The 19,826-nt window shown below is 44.8% G+C and overlaps 1 annotated feature.

Moving 5' to 3' along the window:
- Positions 11,626–11,920: an enhancer, noted in NCBI's record as "tiled region #12678; K562 Activating DNase matched - State 6:EnhF". NCBI's record gives its function as "activates a minimal TATA promoter and a strong SV40 promoter by Sharpr-MPRA in K562 cells {active_cell/tissue: K562}" and the evidence as "EXISTENCE:reporter gene assay evidence [ECO:0000049][PMID:27701403]".

Here is a 19,826-nt window from a genome sequence, read left to right as displayed (position 1 = left end):
CAGACTCAAGGCCCCAGCTATTACCTTTCCCATGTGCCATACTCTTTCATCCCAGGAACTTACTTCTGCATATACTTGACCTTGGAATATCCCATGCAACCCTGTCCCGTGCCTCGTCCATCTATCAATGCGAGCGAATGCAGCATTGCTGTGTGCTACCCCATCACACTCACAGTTCATATCAGGGTTGGGGCTGGCAAGATCTTTCAAACTCTGTCACACATCTTACTATTTAGCTATGTCTCTCCTGTGTTTTTGCAGTTGGATTTATTTTAACATAAGCACATGCTTTTACATTCATTCTATTAAATTCATCTTGTTAGGGTCAGCACATTTTCCACATTTTTGAGCTGTTTGGACATCCTAACTCTTATGCTGAAATTGCAGTATCTCTGTAGTTTTGATAAACACATCTTCTAAGTCTTCTTCTAAGTCTTCATCCAAGTGATTGGACACTTTAAATCAGTTATGAAGTCACATGGGAAATCCCTGTCAATGCCTCTAAAGTCCAGGAAAACAATGTTTAAAGACATCACCTCCTCCTCTGCTGGCTTCAGAGTTCTCATCTGCGGCTCAGCTTCACTCCCTTCACTTTCTCCCCATTGCCTCCCCTACCCCACATCCCCTGTCCCAACACACTCAGCTACGAGAGTGTTCATCTGCTCTCCGTAGACTTCAGCTGCACTCATGTGCACTGGAATGAAGGAAGCTGTGAAGCTGGAAGTATCCTGGTTCAAATTCCTACCAGCTGTGCAGCATGTTAGCTGGGTGAGCTGTGTGCGCACCTAACTCTCTGAGTCTGTTTCCTCCCATGTAAAATGAGGATAAAGCCTGGAGGATCATCATGAGGGCTAGAGAATGTTTGTCTAAAGAATGCAATGCAGAGGTTGCCATTAAATTTCAATGGTCATGGTGGTGGTAGTAGGAGGAGTAGTAGTTGCTGTTATTTTATTAAACAGTAATATTCCAAAACATCAGCCCATGTTGGTTGTTTGGTTCTGAGCTTTCTACACACTCTTTACCCCCGTGGTTTGTCCAGCTCTTTTGCTGTCCAGTACTAGGTCTAGAAAACAAGCCAGAACTACTATTTTACTTGATATTGTCCCAAACCTGTTAGTTGTTTCATGAGTGCAATTCCTCTAGAAGAGCGTAATTAATTAAAGGAAGAAAGTTCTGTACTTGTTTTCCAAGCAGCTGCTGCAGTGTTGGGCACGTATATAGTGCTCAATAAGTGTTTCTTAAAAATGAAAAATTCAGGTTAAAGTAGAAGAATAGTTTAGAACCCCAAAGTTATCCGCATACTCAAAGGCATCCCCATGTCACAAATATGACACTTAAAATTATGCATCCTATAATGACCACGGGCCTTTACCTTTGTGGAAGGAAATCCTGTTTCTTCCAGGTGATGCTGAGACACCAGAGTAAATATACAGTCTTCCACTTTTTGCTCTTAGACTTATCATACTTTGTAATAACCATCTGTTTACACATCTGTCTCTTGCACTAGGTCGTGTTGTTCACCCAGGCAGGTCAAACGTTTGTAGGTTTTTTGTGTTTGTGTTTTTTTGTCAGGATTTTTTTTTTTCTGGTCTCTAACACCCATCACAGTACGTGGCATAAAGTAGGTCCATACATACACAAACAAAATTTGTTTAAAAACATAAAGGAATAATGATGAACAGGGGAAAAGTAATTTTTAACAAATAAATCTATTTTTGGCATATTGGTGGAATAAACATCTCTACAATTCAATGGTAATAGCAATGCCAATAATGGTGTTCGCACACAGAATATCTGTTGCACTTCACAGCTGCTCTCACATGCATCCACTCCTTGACCCGGATCATATCCAGGTGAGCAGACATTATTATTCCAATGCACAGCTGAGGCACAGGGGCTCAGTGTGAATAACCAGCTCTTCATGGCCTTGTGGCTATTAAGTGGCAGAGCCTAGACTTGAATTTGCATCTTTACATACCAAAAACATAAACAAAATAGAATAGGCAATACCAGAGCCTCCTCAATTTCCAATTTGAATTTTTTTTAAGAGTATGTTTTCTCTATCGTTTAGTCTGACAGCTTCAGCTTCTGTGATGCTTGCTTCTGAGGTCTTCTATCCTGAGCATTTTGAATCAGTCATAGAAGGAGGGACGTTCTGAACAGAAAAGGGAACTTTGACCAAAACTTAAGGAATCAATAAAAAATGTAGGGTCCCAACTTGGATAAGGGTTTTGAAAATTATTATTCCCTATATTCAAATAAAATGAACACATACATGTTCCAGTTTCCAGGATGGAAAAGATGTGGAATTTCTGAGAAAAGTTGATCTGCTGAGATACATGAAAGAGTGAAATTGGCAAATGGATTTGGGGCCTGTCTTCCATTTGATATTTTCCCCTGAGAAGGGAAACGGAGCAGGTGCCTGAGGGGAAAAAGCACTGGAGAAGAGGGAAAATTCTCAGCACAGAAACGGGAACCCAACAGAAAAAGACAGAGGACTTAAAAGAGAGGAGATTCAAGAGAGAACAAAAGGAAAATGGCCATCTGGCCTCATGAGAAGCTTTTTCAGGTCCTGAGCTCAGATTCTTTACACAGACGTAGGTAAGAGAGGTCTCCTGGGAGCATTTTCCCCAGGTTTATCTTTCTTTGATAAAATGAATTGTGAATAAGGGGAGAAAGAGAATTCAACCAAGGATTTTTGGAGGTAGAAAAACAAGGATATCTTACTATTTTGTTTGTTTTCTGGCTAGGGAAAAAATAACATTCTCACAAGTTAAAATGTAGGCAAATCTCTCTCCTGATACCAATGCAAGCAAAAAAATAAATAAATAACAGAAAAGCTTCAAGACTTAAAATCCAGAAAAACTGAAGAATGTATAAATCAAATGTGAGATTTTTCAGCCATATCTCCTTAATTTTAGGAGACTCTGTAGCATAATATCTACACTTTGCAAGAATCAAACACATGAAATTGGCTATTAATGGGTACCTTGGGGACTTCTTTGGATTTTAAATTCTCCTTTCAACTTCCAACCAGATATAAAATATCTTGTCACTGACTCCTTTTTTTCTAAATTGTATTCATCCCTACAATTTGATGTTTTTTTTTTTCTTCAACAAATTCTGTCTAACAGTTTATCTTTCTCCGGCCCACAAAACATTGTAACTTTAAGTTTATCCATAATGAGGGCTTTTAATCAGTGCCTAGGAAAATACTGCCACCAGATCAGCCGTGGGAGAACTCATCATGTTATCTAGACAGGCCCCTCAGTGATAGCTCACAAAATACCAACATTCAAAAGGGTCTCAAAATTTCAAAATGAAAGTTGAAAAGAAAATTGAGCTCTTGAGCCCTTCAGCACTTCCAGGTAATTACAGACCCTCAAGTAGCCTTTAGACATCTTAAATAGAGATTTAACTCTAAGCTGAGATAACGCAATTTTACTGGTGGCTAAGATTACCTGCTGTACACAAAGCCCTATGGTAAGTACCGGGGAAGTTGAGGTTCTGCCTTCACAGTGACTTGAGCACTGTTTTCTACTATCTGGATTTGAGAGTAAGTTCAAATACAATTCACAAATACCTACTGAGGGTTTACCATATGCAGTGTGTGAAGCAAGGATCTTTAGTAGATAAGAAAAAGAGCAAAGAGTATCTCTCATCTTGAGTGCATGGATGCATCTGTGAGCAGATGTAAGCCAGAGAATCACATGATAATTGAAGTGGAGTGGGGAAATTTAGCAGGATGTCTAATTGCTATAACCTTTTCAAAAAACAAACTCTACAAAAGACAAATACTGTATAATTTCACTTATCACAGTATTATATTTTATATGAGGTATCTAAAATAGTCAAACTCATAGAAGCAGAGAATAGAATTGTGGCGTCAAAGGCTGGGACTAGGGGGAAACGGACTTTTTGCTCAATGCATACAAGGTTTATGTTATGCAAAATGAATAATTTCTAGAGATCTATTGTACAGAAAAACACTGTAATTAACAATATAGTATTGTGAGCTTTAAAAGGATAAATCTTAACTGTTCTTATCACACACAAAAATGTAAAAAAAGCCACACACACAAAAGAGCACAAGGAAATTTTTGGAGGTGATGGGTATGTTTAGTGTCTTGATTGTGGTAATGGTATCATAGGAATGTGCTTATGTCCAAACTCGTCAGGATATATACATTAAAGGGATGTAACTTTTTAATATCAATTTTACCTCAATAAAACTAATAAATACACTCTACATATTTTAGGAGGATAAAAGGATGCCACTAGACATTTTAGAATTCCTTTCAGAAAAAAAAAATGTTCACTTGAGTTTTTTGCACATGAAAAATTGGTTCCGGAAAATAATAGGGAAAGAGGGGAAGCACAGAGACAGAAGAAAAAGAGAGAGAGAAACTCCTGATCTTCCCTTTGCATTTTGCAAATACAGTTGTTATTGCATGATGTGGAGAGAGGCAATCAAAATTAAGGAAATTCTGTATCTTGATATTTTTCTGCAAGACTGGCATATTTTATACTTCTCATACCCATAGCTCTAGTAACAGATTCTGAATTCACGTGTTCTCATCACAAGAAGATATTTAGCCCCATTAACAAGTAGTTTAATCAAAGAGGGGAAAACCCTAGAAGCTAGAAATTCTCCTGTCAGGCACAATACTGATAAACAAAAGTCACATTTCAAAGTTAGAAGCTCAGATGAAAAAGGCTCAGAGAACAATTCACAATGTGGCCTGAAAACTTGCTGACCTGCAGGTACGGGTTGAGCGTCCCTAATCAAAAAATCTGAAATCTGAAACGCTCCAAAATCCCAAACTTTTTGAGCACCAACATGACACTCAAAGGTCATGCTCAAAAGAGCATTTTGGATTTCATATTTTCAGATTAGGAATGCTCAACTGGCAAGAATAAGGCAGATATTCCAAGATTAAAAAATAAATCAAAACCTGAAATACTTCTCGTCCCCAGCATTTCAGACAAGGGATACTAAACCTGTAAAAGAAATTTACTTCTTTGTTACTTGTCACAGATATAAATAAACACGTAAGGTTTAATCCAGAAGCAGAAGCAATTTACATCTGACTAAGCTGTGTCTGTGGCCACTGCTGCCCTTTGGGCTGCCCGGAATCTCTCGTTGGAAATATCCAAGTAGCTTGCCCTAACCCCCAGTCTCCATGGAGACCCTGGAAAGGCCCCCAGGACCGTCCTATTCAATAAAGCCACCACCCCATCCCCATCCTCCCACCTCATCCTCCTGCCTAGCACTCACCACCATTTGGCACACTGCGTTTTTTATTTATTGATGATCTCTCTCCCCCAGTCAAAGCTCCAAGAAGGCAGGGATTTTGTTTTCTGTTTTGTTTTGGGCTCTCCAGTGCCTTGAATATTAGGACTTAATAAATCTCTGTCAACTAAAGAATCACTCTTCATTTCTAAAGAAGGTGATCAATTTCAAATACTCATCTTTTTCATTTTATTTTTTATTTCTTACAGACAGAGTCTCACTCTATTGCCCACGATGGAGTATGATCATGATCTATTGCCCACGATGGAGCATGATCATAGCTCACTGCAGCCTCAAACTCCCAGACTCAAGCAATCCTCCTGCCTCACAAATACTCTTTATAAAGGTTAAATTTCAATTCTACTTGAAGGTATAACCAGTTCTTCCATTACTAGTTCTTTTATCACCTAAACCATCCCAACATGTCCTCCACGGTGGGAGGAAGCAATGTTGTCAGAATGGAAAAACCCTCTGTTTTTCCCCTGGACTCCAAGGACTCTTCCAGTTTCTCATTTCTACATTTGGCAAAAATAAGTAGGAGGCCTGCACGCTCATTCATGGCACAAAGTTACCCAGTGGAGGGGCAGTGGGGATGAAACCCAAGAAGAGGAAATCAGACATGTACAGAGGAAGGACCACGTGAAGCCACCTGCAGGCAAACAGAGAGGCCGTGGAGGAAACCAGCCCTGCTGACACTTGGATCTTGGACTTACAGCCTCCAGGACTGTGAGAAAATTAATTTCTGTTGTTTAAGCCACTAGGCTGTGGAACTTGTCATGACAGCCTTGGCAGATTAATATGCAGAGGAGCCACTGTTATCTCCCCATTTACAAATGGTGAGCCTGAGATGTAGAGAGATTAAGATCAAACAGCAAGAAGTCTGCAGACGCGGGACCTGACCCTAGGATCAGGTCAAAATCCACATTCCTTCCTGTAACTGGCTGCTGCTCCTTTGTTCTTTCATTGGCCAAAATGCACAGAGGGGAGGGCCCAGGGAATGGCAAGCACCCTCCCTAGACACCTAAGCACGCATGCACAGTCCCTGGCACCCCAGAGGCACACCGCTTGGGGGAAGAAAAACACACAAAAATAGCTCCAGTCTTGGGTGGAGCTTCAGTACTTTTGTGGTGAGAGGTCTTGCCAGAAACAAGGACCAACACAGCATTGCCTGGAGGGAGGCATTGATGGGGACTGGGGAGGATCCACCAGCTGGGGTCCAGTGTCCCAGTTGGCGAGAAGCAGACCCAGAAGTGACATTCAACCAAGGCCCTGTCAAACTGGAGGAGGCAGGATGGATATACCTCGATGAAGTTGAGTTATCCTGAGACAGAATATTTCCATTGGTTTTCAGATTTAAATAAGCATTAGCTGTGTAATGTCATGTTTCACACACTTGTCAGTATAGAACCTTTGTGTTAGTCTGTTTTCATGCTGCTGATAAAGACATATCCGAGACTGGGCAATTTACAAAAGAAAGAGGTTTAATTGGACTTACGGTTCCACATGGCTGGGGAGGCCTCACAACAATGGTGGAAGGCAAGGAGGAGCAAGTCACATCTTAGGTGGATGGAGTCAGGCAAAAAAGAGAGATCTTCTGCAGAGAAACTCCCACTTTTAAAACCATCAGATCTCATGAGACCCATTCACTATCACAAGAACAGCACGGGAAAGACCTGCCCCCATGATTCAATCGTCTCCCACTGGGTCCCTCCTACAACACGTGGGAATTATGGGAGGTACAAGATGAGATTTGGGTGGGGACAGTCAAACCATATCAACCTTACGTAGGTGTGCAAAGTCCATGCAAGTACCATGGTATAATCTATATTTTAATAAATATGATAAATATCAGCCCATGTATGGAAACATTCTTCAGTATATATAAAAACTCTTGTTCAGTTTTATGCTAGATAATTCTTTTTCTGAGCAACTGGACCAGCCTCTGAACCAATCGTCATCATCCTACCCAGAAAGCATTTTTGCTCCAAGGGATCTTCTAGGGGACATACGTTGGATCAGGACACGCCTCTGCTTAAGCCCTTGTATTAGTCAGTTCTCATGCTGCTAATAAAGACATACCCCAGACTGGGTAATTTATAAAGAAAAAGAGGTTTAAAGGATTCATGGTTCCACATGGCTGGGAGGCCTCACAATCATGGCTGAAGGGGAAACAAACACAACTTTCTTCACATGGTGGCGGGAAGGAGAAGTGCTGAGCAAAGGGGAGGAAAGCCCCTTATAAAACCATCAGATCTCGTGAGAACTGACTTACTATCACGAGAATAGCAGCATGGGGGTAACAGCCCCCATGATTCAATTACCTTCCACAGAGTCCCTCCCATGACACATGGGGATTATGGGAACTACAATTCCAGATGAGATTTGGTGGGGACACAGCAAACCATATCAGCCCCCCATCAGCAGAGAATACAATCCATGCAGCTGTCATCCTGAACCATGTGGTGTTGAACCTGGGGAAGCACCCCAAAGCCCCCACCATCCCAGGCACCTGCCCCCTCTTCTGCTCTTACTTGCACCACCTGCCCTAGCTGCCCCTTCTCACTGGGTCCTTCACAAGTCAGGATGCTCACCCCACTAGGACTTTGCTGGAATGTTCTATCCCAGCTCTCACTATGATCTAATCCAAATGTCACCTCCTTGGACAGGTGTCCTGACCAGAGGTGTTGCCACGGGTGCAAAGTCAACACAGCTGCATGAGGCCCACACTCAGAAGGGCCCTGAGCTTGATTTGATGCTCTCCTGGAGCCATCTTGAAATGTGTAAGTCTGAACACCACCATTCATAGTGACCCTTTTGTTCTTTAGTCCACAGCCCTTTTCCCTCTCTGAGCTGTGAGCTCCCCAGCTCCACAGCTGAGCTGAGAGTGAGCACCTGGCCAGTCTGTCTTGCCACTGTGTCCCCACACTTAGAACAGAGACACAGGGCAAGTGCTCAACAGGCATGGTCTGGCTCCATGACGAAGGAGAGGGGTGCAGTCAGGAGTCAGAAACAGGCAGAAAGGAGCTGATGCTGGCTGGGCCCCGTGCATGGCTTCCGGCTGACTTCTTACACACTGGTAGTCCCTCTGAAGTGAGATACCAACTCTTTCTCTTACAGAGAGAGAAATGTGAACTTGCCATCCCACAGTACATTCATCCCAAGTGAAGAAGGCCAAGTGAGAAACACAAGTGAAGAAACAAAAGCATACCCTGAGTTCTAACATGCCACGCCAGGAGTGTCATCCCTGTACCGCAAACCTCCCTCCCTCCTTTTTAGCAGTGTCCCAGTTGTTGCTGCCATTGAGGGAACCCTCTTTAAACATCCCTATTTAAGCCCGACTGTGCGGGGTTCTTGAGGATAGGTGGGGACAAGGGTGAGCTCCACTGGAGAATCCTGAGAAGGTCTTTTCCAGCTGCTCTGGAAGAGCTTCTGCGAGCCACTGTCTGCTCCTCCTCTCAACATTGTCTGCCCAAACGTGGGTCTCAAACCTACATCTTAGTTCGCCAGCAGCCACCAGTGGAAAGATGGGCCCGAGCGCCGCATGCTGTTGGAGATGGAGCTGTCAGTTGAGTAAATCCCAAAGCCCACCAAGTGAGGGTGGCCAGTTTCCTTGCTGTTGAAGCCCCTTTGGTTGGGCTCTCTGCCACTCAGAGGCAGCAGCTTCGTAAGATGTAATGATCATTTATCTACCCACGAGAGTGCATCAGAGAGATAGAACTTAATTTGCATTTGTCATATATTTTCTTGTATATTCAATAATGTATAATATTTTTAAATAAGCTTTATTTTTCCAAATCTTTTTCTATATTCGTGTCTGAAAGCAGACAACTTTAACGTTTCATCGTTATGTTTGCGATTATGACTGTCGAAACAAACTCATATCACAGGGTCTTTTGTAAGACAGACAACACGGTCAGGAGCGCAGTCCTGCATGCCGCACTGGCCTCCTCTCCTACTCACTTACAACCAGGACAACCTCCAGGACCTGTCTACACCTCTGCTGCTCCAGCTGTCACATGGGACTAATAATGTGGACGCCACAGTGTTCTGTGAGATTAGGTAAACTGATGCTCACACAGAGTTTCTCCAGTGCCTGGTGGGTAGTGAAAGAGCCACATGTATCATTATCACCATTGCTGCTGCCGTTGATATGAACCAAAGAGGAAGAAAAAGTGAAGAGTTGGCCCCTTCCCATGAGCGATCATCTAGATAGGGAGATAGATCATTGTTTTCATAAGATAAAAGATGCAAAAACACATGAATTGCAAACTTCGAGGGATTAAAGTGGAAGCCTCCACAAAGGGCCACGATGAGGACCTCGTGGTGAGATGGACAGAGACGCTCCTGGGAGAGGACGAACTGGGTTTACGAAGACTCTAGAAGAACCTAGAGCCTATGAAGGGTTCAGCCTTTAAATTATCCAGAGGGCAGCTTTTCACATTTTCTGAACAAAGCAGGGACAAAAACAAACAAAGTGTTTCAAGAAAATTTAGTTTAATTTTGACGCAGGTGAGGGCACAGAATCCAGAAGGCAAAGAGACCATTAAAGAGACGTCTTCAATGTCCAGGCTGGAAGGACAAGCTCGGTGGACTGGGGCTTGAATACAGCAATGATGATGATGGTAAAACTACCTCTAATTTCTCTCCCCCCTACTTATCCTCAACTAAAAACTAGCATTTTTCACTCCCAAGACTAGATAAAACACAAAAATTGAGAAAATGTTTAATAATGTAATTCTTTTTTAAAAAAAATAAAGTCGGTCAAAGCTCTTCCAACCACAAGAGGGCGTTCCTGGACCCAGCAGTGGAGCCGGGATTGCCCCGGGCATGGACGGAACTTGCACCAGGGCTGCCCACAGGTCACTTGTGCAAGTGGTTACCTGGGTAGTTACAGAAAGGAAACAGTGTCTGGCATTCACCTGCGCTTTGTGACATCATAGAATCTTAAAATCAAGGAGAGCAGCCTTGAGCTCTTATCAAACCTAAGAACATGTAGACTTATGAGAAGCAATTCAGGATTGGGACTTTTTTTGAGTGACTGCCAGGTGTAGGCAAAGCCAGAAAGCCCTGGCAACCCAAAACTGAAGGATCTGGGGCTTTCTTCCTGCAAGCTCTGCTCAGCGAGGGGCTTGTGCTCCTACAAGCTCTTTGCTACATAAGTCAAGCCAAACTTCCATTTCCCGACATGACATGGCCAAATAAGAGAAGGCCAGGTTACCAGAGATTAAAAATAGGACGTTGCTGCAGAGTCCTGGGACCGGCTGGCAAATGACACAGGAACTTTGGGAGCGCATGGACTCAGGCCAAGCGGCCGTCCTCACCCTCGGCCACCTCAGGGCAGGGACGAAGAGTAAGGTTCGCAGGAGTCCTGCCAGGAAAGGGCTGGGAGTCAGGGAAGGGTGGAGAAATCGCTTTCCTATGAGTCAAGGGACAACAGCTGTCACTGCAAAGGGGAGAAGAGCTGGAAAACTGGATCCAACCTTTCATAGAGCAGTGGCAGCTGAGTCGCAACAAACAAGCAGAAACACGAGGCCCTTAAAAAATACAGTAATTCAGGCGACATCAAAGCGGTGATTAGCACAGCTTCCTGGCGGTCTCTTTCTGTTTATTTATGGCACATTACACATTTTCATGCTATTTTCATAAGGTGTTTCTGCTGCCACAGTTCCATATTTGGGTGACAGAGTGTCTGAGACGTACCACAACTATTGGGCAACTCACCCCCAGCCACACTCGAAGTCAATGGCAACCACAAAAACAACAACCTCCCAAAAAAAGAGAAGCAAAAGAGAAAGTGTTCCAAGTGCTTCTTCCAGCAGCACGGGGACGCCCCTCCTCTGGAAGGAGAAGCAAGTGCATGGCCCTGTTGAGAGGGAGGGTGAGGTGGGGTGCAGGGGCAAACTTCGTCTTGATTCATGTTTGTAGACGGGGGAGATCAATGCCGGATTCTCACTGACATCCTGCTTTTCTTGTACCACACAGCCCAGCCTTTGATGGTGGGGATTAGTCCCAAAATTCTGGAGTTCACCACTCCTCCCGCTACACTGGCTTTATTTCAAATCTCTGTTGGTCCATGTCAACATCAGCGATGGGAGTTGAAAGAAGTAAAACAGTGACTCGTGCATTTTTCATTCTTCTCTTTGCTTCTTTCTTTTATAAAAGGTCAGGAGGATGATGAAAAGGAGACCTTTAGGAAGCAACTGCGACGTTCCATCTCATATCCACTAAAGGAGGTGCATTTCCGATTCAGACAAATTTAGTAACCATTTCCTCCAAGTCTGACTGCTCTTTACAATTAGGCTCCTGGAAAAATACATGTTGGTGTGTTTACAACATGGGAAAAATATGTCATCTCAGCATTCAGTGATAAAGCAGGTATAGGTCCCAACAGAAGCGAGGGTCAGGACAGGCAACGGGAAACATGTGCTCGCTGCTGGGTCCCAGGACTGAGTGACTCAGGAAAGCTGCTCAGACTTATCAGCTCTGATCCCTGGGACTTCAGGCTTCAAGAGATGTGGTTTGACGGGTGAGCTGAATATTCAACATGTCATCACAAGCACCAAATTCAGTGTCACCACTACTATTGGAAGCATTGACTCCCCAGCTCCTCACCATTACATTTTACTTTTCTAAAACATTGGCAACTGACAAGCTTTGGAAACCATCATTGTGTGTTTTTCTCCACCCCACCATTTATAGCCAGTGTCCCCACTTTTAGGTCTGAGACCACTGCCCAGTGGGCCTTTCCCCAAGGTGGGGGATCTAAGGACCCTTGGATTAATCCCAGGCTTTGTCTCCCACAAAAGCTTCCAAGACCAGTGCCAACATTCTTGGTGGACACCTGTTCTCTAAGAGCTGGGCTTGAGCCCAAAATGCATCCACACAGGCCACTTAAAAGCCATCCCAAGTTAACTTGGGTCAGAATTTAATCAGCCGTCTACAAATAAAGTCCATCCCATGACTCCACTCTGCAGGCATTCAGTTCTCTACAGCCTCTTATTTCCAGCCATTGCATCAGCCACAAACACACGGTGAGTTGGTGCTTGGCGAATCAGGTCCCAGCAAGACCACACCACCTTTTTCTAAATCTCCAAAGCCAAATTAGTTTGACTTTGGCGAGATCTTGAAGCACAAACATGTTGAAGCAAGAGTTCACGGAAGTGTACGTTTTTGGGTGCTGTCTTCATTCTAATAATAATAGCTAACATTTATTGAATGTCAGGTAATGGCAGTTCCAGGTAATATCTCAGTTAACCCTCCCAGGAGATCTCAGGCAGGTACATTTTTCAGATGAAGACACTGAGGAGCACATGTTTAATAACTTGCTGAGAACCACATGAGAAGTCAACAGCAGGGCCAGCCCCTGAGCGCAGGTAGACTAGATCAACAGCTCACGCTCTTAGCCACCCCACTGTGCTCCTTCCCAGGTGCGAGTCCACTTAACCTAACAAACAACCCGTAAGTGCTGTTTTAGAAATATCAGAAAATCCCTATTTCTTTGATTACAGAAATAGAATTTAAGCAAAAATGTAAAATGAAGGAATTCGTAATTCTCAGCAAAAGTCAGGTCAGTCAAATGCCCCGATATGCCTTCTTCAATTTTGAGACTGTGGTTGCTGTTTCGGTTTATTTCATCGGTGGTGGTGGTGTTTCTCAGGGTCGTTTGAGAATTGTAGGGATGAAAATTTGCAAAACAATTTCTGGGACATGAAAGACAAGAGCTGGGGGTGGGGGTGCTCCGGTGCGGCTCCAGCCCCGGTGCAGGAGTTGTCTGCCCCTTTACCTTGGGCTGCCAGGCAGGCCAGCAAAGCCAAGAAACCCCAAATGCAGTCTTCAAGGCAGAAGCCTGGGGTCAGGGCACTGGCAGGAAATTGAACCTGAAGGCAGAGAAGAGCAAAACCCCTTCTCCAGGGCTTGCAGGCCTCCCTGGTGCACGGTGCCTTTGGGATAAGACACTGGTACCTGTCAGGATGCTCCCAGGGCCCCTGGAACTTAAGAGAGACTCCAGACCTCAGCCACACCAGGGCTTAGGAAGCAAAATTCAGGATGGGGTCCACGCACCACTAGAGGGAGCCAGGGGCACGGGTGTCCACATGTCTTAGGGCCCCCAGATCCGAGGAAGGACTGAGGAGCCCCCACAACAGCTGTAGTCGCACGTTTGCACGTTCACACACAGCACAGCCACCCCTGCAGCATCCTCAGACACAGCGGAGAGGGACATGTCCGGAGGCACCGACTCCTCCTGGACCCCGCAGCCCCGATGCAGGGCAGCCACACAGAGCCACACGTGGCCGAGCACCCAGGGAGGGGCCCCACGGGCCGCCAGAACCACCAGGGCCGTTCTCAAAGAAGTGGAGGTAGGTATTTAGGTGAGAGACCCACGTGGTGGCAGCAGGGTAGTTGGTGACGTTGGCTTAATAATTTTGCCACACCTGGGCCGGCCACTGGAGAATCACAAAGCTCCAGTGCTGGGCTTCTCCAAGAAGCAGGCGGCTCTCAATGGAGGGAATCTTTTAATTATACTCATCGAAATTAGCAGTGCCTCTGGCCGGGGCAGCATGATGAGTGCAGTTTGGAGTCCTAGCTCGCAGAATGTTAGCACAAGAAGGACCCCAGGGGTCACAGAGTTCAGCTCCTCAGCCCCTGCACCACTCACGCTTCCCATAAGGGAAAAGTGCCGACTCCACTTCTGAAGGCTTCATGATCCAGGATAGCCATCTATGTAGTCAAAGAAAAACTAAACCTCAACTCAAAACCAAATCGACAGCATCGACTCACCACGGCCCCAAACGAGTTCTACTTCTGCCTGCCGATGACAGACCGCCTCCCCGCCAAACCCCGCCCGGCAACCATGAGAAAGACTCCAACGCTTTGCATCCCTGACAGACAGCATCAACTTCCACAGCAGCCAGGTTCTTCCCCACCTGATCCAGAGGAACAGCGAGAACTAGAGCCCCTGATAAGAACTCGGAGGAAAAATATCCCTGCTCCTTCTCGGTATCTTCATAAAGAACTGCATATGCTATTCTGGACGTAAAAATCTATTACCAGACATGTTCTAAATACGGATCCGTGTGAATGTATAGATTAGACTAAGCACACAACAGAAAAACAAGCTGGTTGTTCATCCCCTCCCCTCCCGCTGCAGGAATCTGGCTTGAGATAAAGGTTTGATCTTTTAGCAGTAACATTCTCTGAGTCCAACTGAGTGCGGCAAAGGGAAATAAACACGTCGGCTTCTGAACCAGGTTTTGCCGTGGGTTGACACAGCCCCTGACAAAGGATTAACCTCTTGTTGCCTCAGGCCCCCTGCTCTACAAAAGATGACCCATATTTTCAACCCAAACAATTTCAATACATAATTCCTAATGGCCACAGAGCATGGTATAAAGATATGAATGTTTAATTGAGGTGGCACCTTCACCACCCGTGCTGTTTTGGTGCTAAGGGTGACTCCAGCCGTCACAGTTACATGGAAATTAAATGTCCTTTAAAAAGGAAAAAAAGAATGAGGTGCGCATGGAAGAAACCCAGTTTCACAGACCACACCTGTCATGCCTTGGCAAGTCTGAGGAGGCAAATGTTCTCAGTTGTCCTTCAGGAAGAGTCTTGGTTTCTGGTTAATATACTTGTCTCTCGCCCAATAGCGGAATTACCATCCTAGTCCCAATTAGGATCCCTTTTGTTGCCTGTGGCCCCATTTTTTTTCAATAAAAATTAAAGTAATTAGGAAACAATTCAAGATCCAGTGTCCCCCAAGCTGCTCAAGGTCTATATGGTGCCCAAGGTCTAAAAATGACTCAGAGGGCGTGTGAAGTAAGGAACTATGTGCCTGCTGAATTACAGCTTCCATTTTAGCTGTTTGGGAAGGTTTGGCTTAGACTATCCACGACAGGGGCTCTTAACTAGGACTAAAACAAGTCAGATTCCTGACCATTTGTCCTAGTGGCAATGCCTGAAGAGAGAAATTTCTAGAATTCCTATGTAATTCATAAATTTCAGAAATAACACATATTTACTGAGAATCAACACTCTCTTTACATTTGGAAGAAGACATTATTAGGATAATGGTGGCTGCTGTAAAAAATAAATAAATCCCCAGATTACACTGGCTTAACTCTGGCTTATATATCCATCTAGTGCACGTGTTCTTGGTCTATGAGCAGCTTTCAAGGCCTGAGCCTCCTTCCTTCCTGTGACTCCAAGTCGTCAGCATCCAAACCGCAGATGGAGGAGGAGAGGGTGAAGATGGCCACCGGCTCCCTAACAACTATGGCTTAGATATGACAATATGGCTTCTGCTCACATTCTCATGGTGAGAACGTCTCACAAGACCCCAGAGGTATGGAAACGAGGCTGAGAAGTGGGGTCGCCAGCTCAGCAGCCATTTCTTAGGGACAAGTGTTTTCTGTGGTTGGGAAAGGCTGAATTTCTGTGGACAAGTAGCAATCTCTGCCACATGGTAAGGCACCAAACTTTTCAGTAGTCAGTAGTACACCGGACAGTGGCATCAGTCCATGACTCTGGGGCCCTGCCAGGGATCAGGAGTTGCCTACTTTGCAAGGAGATCGATTTATTTTTTAAACGAGTCTAATTGCGAGAAAATTCTTATGTTGGGTTATAATATTTCATCATGCAACTTCCACCTGTTGATCTTAGTTCTACCCTTCTAGAATCACACAGAATAAGTCTACTTCATCTCCTTGACAGGCCTTCAAAGGATTAAAGGTCCACTATGTGTCCATTAAGTGATTAGTTTTCTAAGCATCTGCAGCTTCCTATTGGTTTTCATTTCACTTATTATGCTAGGATACCCATGTGTCTATTTTTGGCCTTCTTAAAATGTTCAGCCAAGAATGAAAACAGTTCATCAGGTGAGAAGAATCAACTACAGAGGACTAGATGAGACAGGCCCAGTGCATCTCATTCTGAAGGCTGTTGATATGGAAAACCATTCTTGGGGCACGCTTTTCACTTTCTCATCAGCTGAATGGTGGGAAGTGGAATGATGGTAGCCTGCAGCTCCTGGTGATGGGTCTTCAGAGAATAGAAGCCCTGCTATTTTTCTGCTTTCCTTTCCATAGCGTTCTTGCAGTGTAGACGGTTTCAGTGCGAGGGCTTGTTTCAGATCAATGCTTTTTAAAGCTAAGAAAGAAAAATATGGCTAAACTAAAATGATAATAAAGAAAGCTCCAGATAATACGGCCTTTTATGTAGGCCTTACATCACATGAGCCATGCTTTAGAGCAGTCCTGGAGGTGAGCATAAATTAGACACAGAATCTTTTTATTTTAAAAAAAATTAATAAAGTTTAGATTAAATATTAAAGAGAAAGTCTACAGTCCATTCCTCCTGGATGAAGGCTGAGAAAAATGAGGTTTGTTTCGCGTCTTCCCTTGGGGCTGGCCTGGTAAAATAATCTTTATAAAAATATTTTTAAGTTTTTAAAAAATATTTTAAAATTAATTGTTACAGTTAGAAATTGCATTATGTGTAAGAATATTTTATGCTGGCAATTTGTCTCTATTATATTTTATTTTGCTCTATTTTGATGAGAGAAAGGAAAAGTGGAATTGTGAGCAACCTTTTAATGTGGCTTAGAAACTTAATGTGGAAAGGGTACTAATATTGTAATTACTAGTTTTCATTTATCAGCCACAGTTCTCTTTGTCGCTTCTGCTATTTAAAGTTACTGTTCACATACTGTGGCTAATTCCCTTTGTTAAATTTCACAGTGAATGCAGCTTCCTGGATATTTGTTATTGCAGTCCTATGGATGTAGGCTTCTCAGATAAAGGAAAAGCTGGGTGCATCCATCTGTGGGCAAATTAAAAATGAGTTTAACCCCTTGGCTTCCATGGCTCTTTCCCCTTCGGCAAAATGTGTCCCATGCTTCTGACTGACAAGACATAAAATCGGAGTAACATATATGTTTCATTTTTAATGGAATTTGGTAGAATATCAGAAGCAACTGCTTCGCTATGACCCTGCATTAATACAAAGAGACCACCTGGGGAGGAGGGGGAGGGGCCATTGCTGGAGCAGAGGATTATGGAGTTGGAAGAAGAAGAGAAAAACAGTGAAATACTTTTGAAGTTGGAAGGGGGAAAGTCTATTTTCATTATTTAAGGTCTATTTCCTAACAAATGATTAGTTCATTTGCAGCTGGGTTGGAGTTTTCTGAATCATGGTTATACCAGCTCCTTACACAGAGAATCAAGGAGAGAGAAAAGTGGGAAAAGTGGAAGATTGTTTAGGGGGAGGAAAGAATTTTTCTCCATTTGCCTACTTTTCACAGTATTGCCACTAATTGGAGTATGTTCTTAGAAGAAACAGTGCACATTTAGTTTCCTCTTATTTTTTTCTCCCGTTGTAATTTTCAGAGAGAGAGAGAGAGAGCAAGAGAGAAGGAGTATAAGAAAACAATCAACCCTTTCTTTCTGTTCCTATCAATCTAATTCTGAAAACATAGAAAAGGAAAGATTTAACACACATAATAATGGATTTTGCTTTGTCACTGGGGATTATAACATTTATTTATTCATTCAACAAATATTTATTGAATGCACCAGGCTCTATTTTATAGTAGATTCTGGGGTAAAGGAATGGAAATTCAGGGCAGGTCGCAGCTGCCCAGGAGCCATTGTCCTCTGCAGGAAGGCTGTCATAAACCAGAAAAAAAAAAAAAACAATGCATAGGAAGGGGACAAAGCAGGGCAGCTAGAGACAAAACCTGGTGACTTCCCAGGGAAAGCGTCTTGGGAGATGGCCTTTGACTTGAGGCCCCAGTGATGTGAAGGACCTGGCTGAGGGAAGAACAGATACTGAGACTCCTGGCCAGGATGTGCAGCAAGTGCTGGAGGAACCCAAGGAAACCAAGGTAGTGACCTGGGGTGCAGGAGAGCCTGCATGTGGAGGAGAAGAGCCTGCAGGTGGAGGAGGGGAGCCTGCAGGTGGAGGAGGGGAGCCTGCAGGTGGAGGAGAAGAGCCTGCAGGTGGAGGAGGGGAGCCTGCAGGTGGAGAAGAAGAGCCTGCAGGTGGAGGAGAGGAGCCTGCAGGTGGAGGAGAGGAGCCTGCAGGTGGAGGAGAAGAGCCTGCAGGTGGAGGAGAGGAGCCTGCAGGTGGAGGAGAGGAGCCTGCAGGTGGAGGAGGGGAGCCTGCAGGTGGAGAAGAGGGACCTGCAGGTGGAGGAGGGGAGCCTGCAGGTGGAGGAGGGGAGCCTGCAGGTGGAGGAGGGGAGCCTGCAGGTGGAGGAGGGGAGCCTGCAGGTGGAGGAGGGGGACCTGCAGGTGGAGGAGGGGGGCCTGCAGGTGGAGGAGGGGAGCCTGCAGGTGGAGGAGGGGAGCCTGCATGTGGAGGAGGGGGACCTGCATGTGGAGGAGGGGGGCCTCCAGGTGGAGGAGGGGACCCTGCATGTGGAGGAGGGGGGCCTGCAGGTGGAGGAGGGGGCCTGCAGGTGGAGGAGGGGGGCTGCAGATGGAGGAGGGTGGCCTGCAGGTGGAGGAGGGGGTCCTGCAGGTGGAGGAGGGGGGCTGCAGATGGAGGAGGGGGGCTGCAGATGGAGGAGGGTGGCCTGCAGGTGGAGGAGGGGGGCCTGCAGGTAGAGAAGGGGGGCCTGCAGGTGGAGAAGGGGGGCCTGCAGGTGGAGGAGAGGGACCTGCAGGTGGAGGAGGGGAGCCTACAGGTGGAGGAGAGGAGCCTGCAGGTGGAGGAGAGAGTCCAGTCCGCAGGCCTGGGATGAGCCAAAGTTCAGTTGTAAGTCTGCGGAGGGCTCTGTTTTGTCATATATTTCTGGTTTTAAAAACACAATTGATGCTAAACATACTCGAAGGTATATCGAATGGTACCACAAGTAACCAAGAGGCATTGCCAAGCTCCCACAATCAACCACTCCTGAACCTCCTCTTTCATCCACATCCCACCCAGTCCTCCCCAGCCCACCCAGATTTTAATGCAAACTCCAAATATGGTTTCATTTCACCCATAAATAATTCTGCATGTATCACGCGGGAACATTGAAGAATATTTTAAGAACAACAAATTAACATGATCCAATATTGTGTCAGTGTTTAAAGGTTGATGTGTGTATAATTTTTGCTTCAGTTTGCTTGAATCAGGATCTTAATAAAGTTCATATATTACAACTAGTGGGTATTTGGCATAAGTCTCTTTTGATCCGTAGGTTTCCTTTCATTGGAGGTTTAAAGTAAGGGAATGTCATGATTTGTGACATTTTTTTAAACACCACTGTAGCTGTGTGTGGAGACCAGGGAGCAGGGGGCACGTGGACTGAGCAGGAGCCCGTAGGAGGCCATTGCAGTGGTCCAGGCTGGGGGTGAAGGGGGTCTGGGACCACAGGAGAAGGAAGGAATTGGAATGAATATAGGACTTGTTTGTTGACCATCTCATGTTCTAGTTAAAGCATACTGGGCTTATTTTTCAGGTCTACCAAACTGAGTTAGAGTATGAATGTATACATATGTAAATAATAGACAACAACATAGGAATCAAATCTGTGAAATTAATACACACA

Source organism: Homo sapiens, chromosome 6 (assembly GCF_000001405.40).
Source record: "Homo sapiens chromosome 6, GRCh38.p14 Primary Assembly".
Classification (NCBI taxonomy): Eukaryota; Metazoa; Chordata; class Mammalia; order Primates; family Hominidae; genus Homo; species Homo sapiens.
This window is presented reverse-complemented; position numbering and strand designations above follow the sequence as displayed.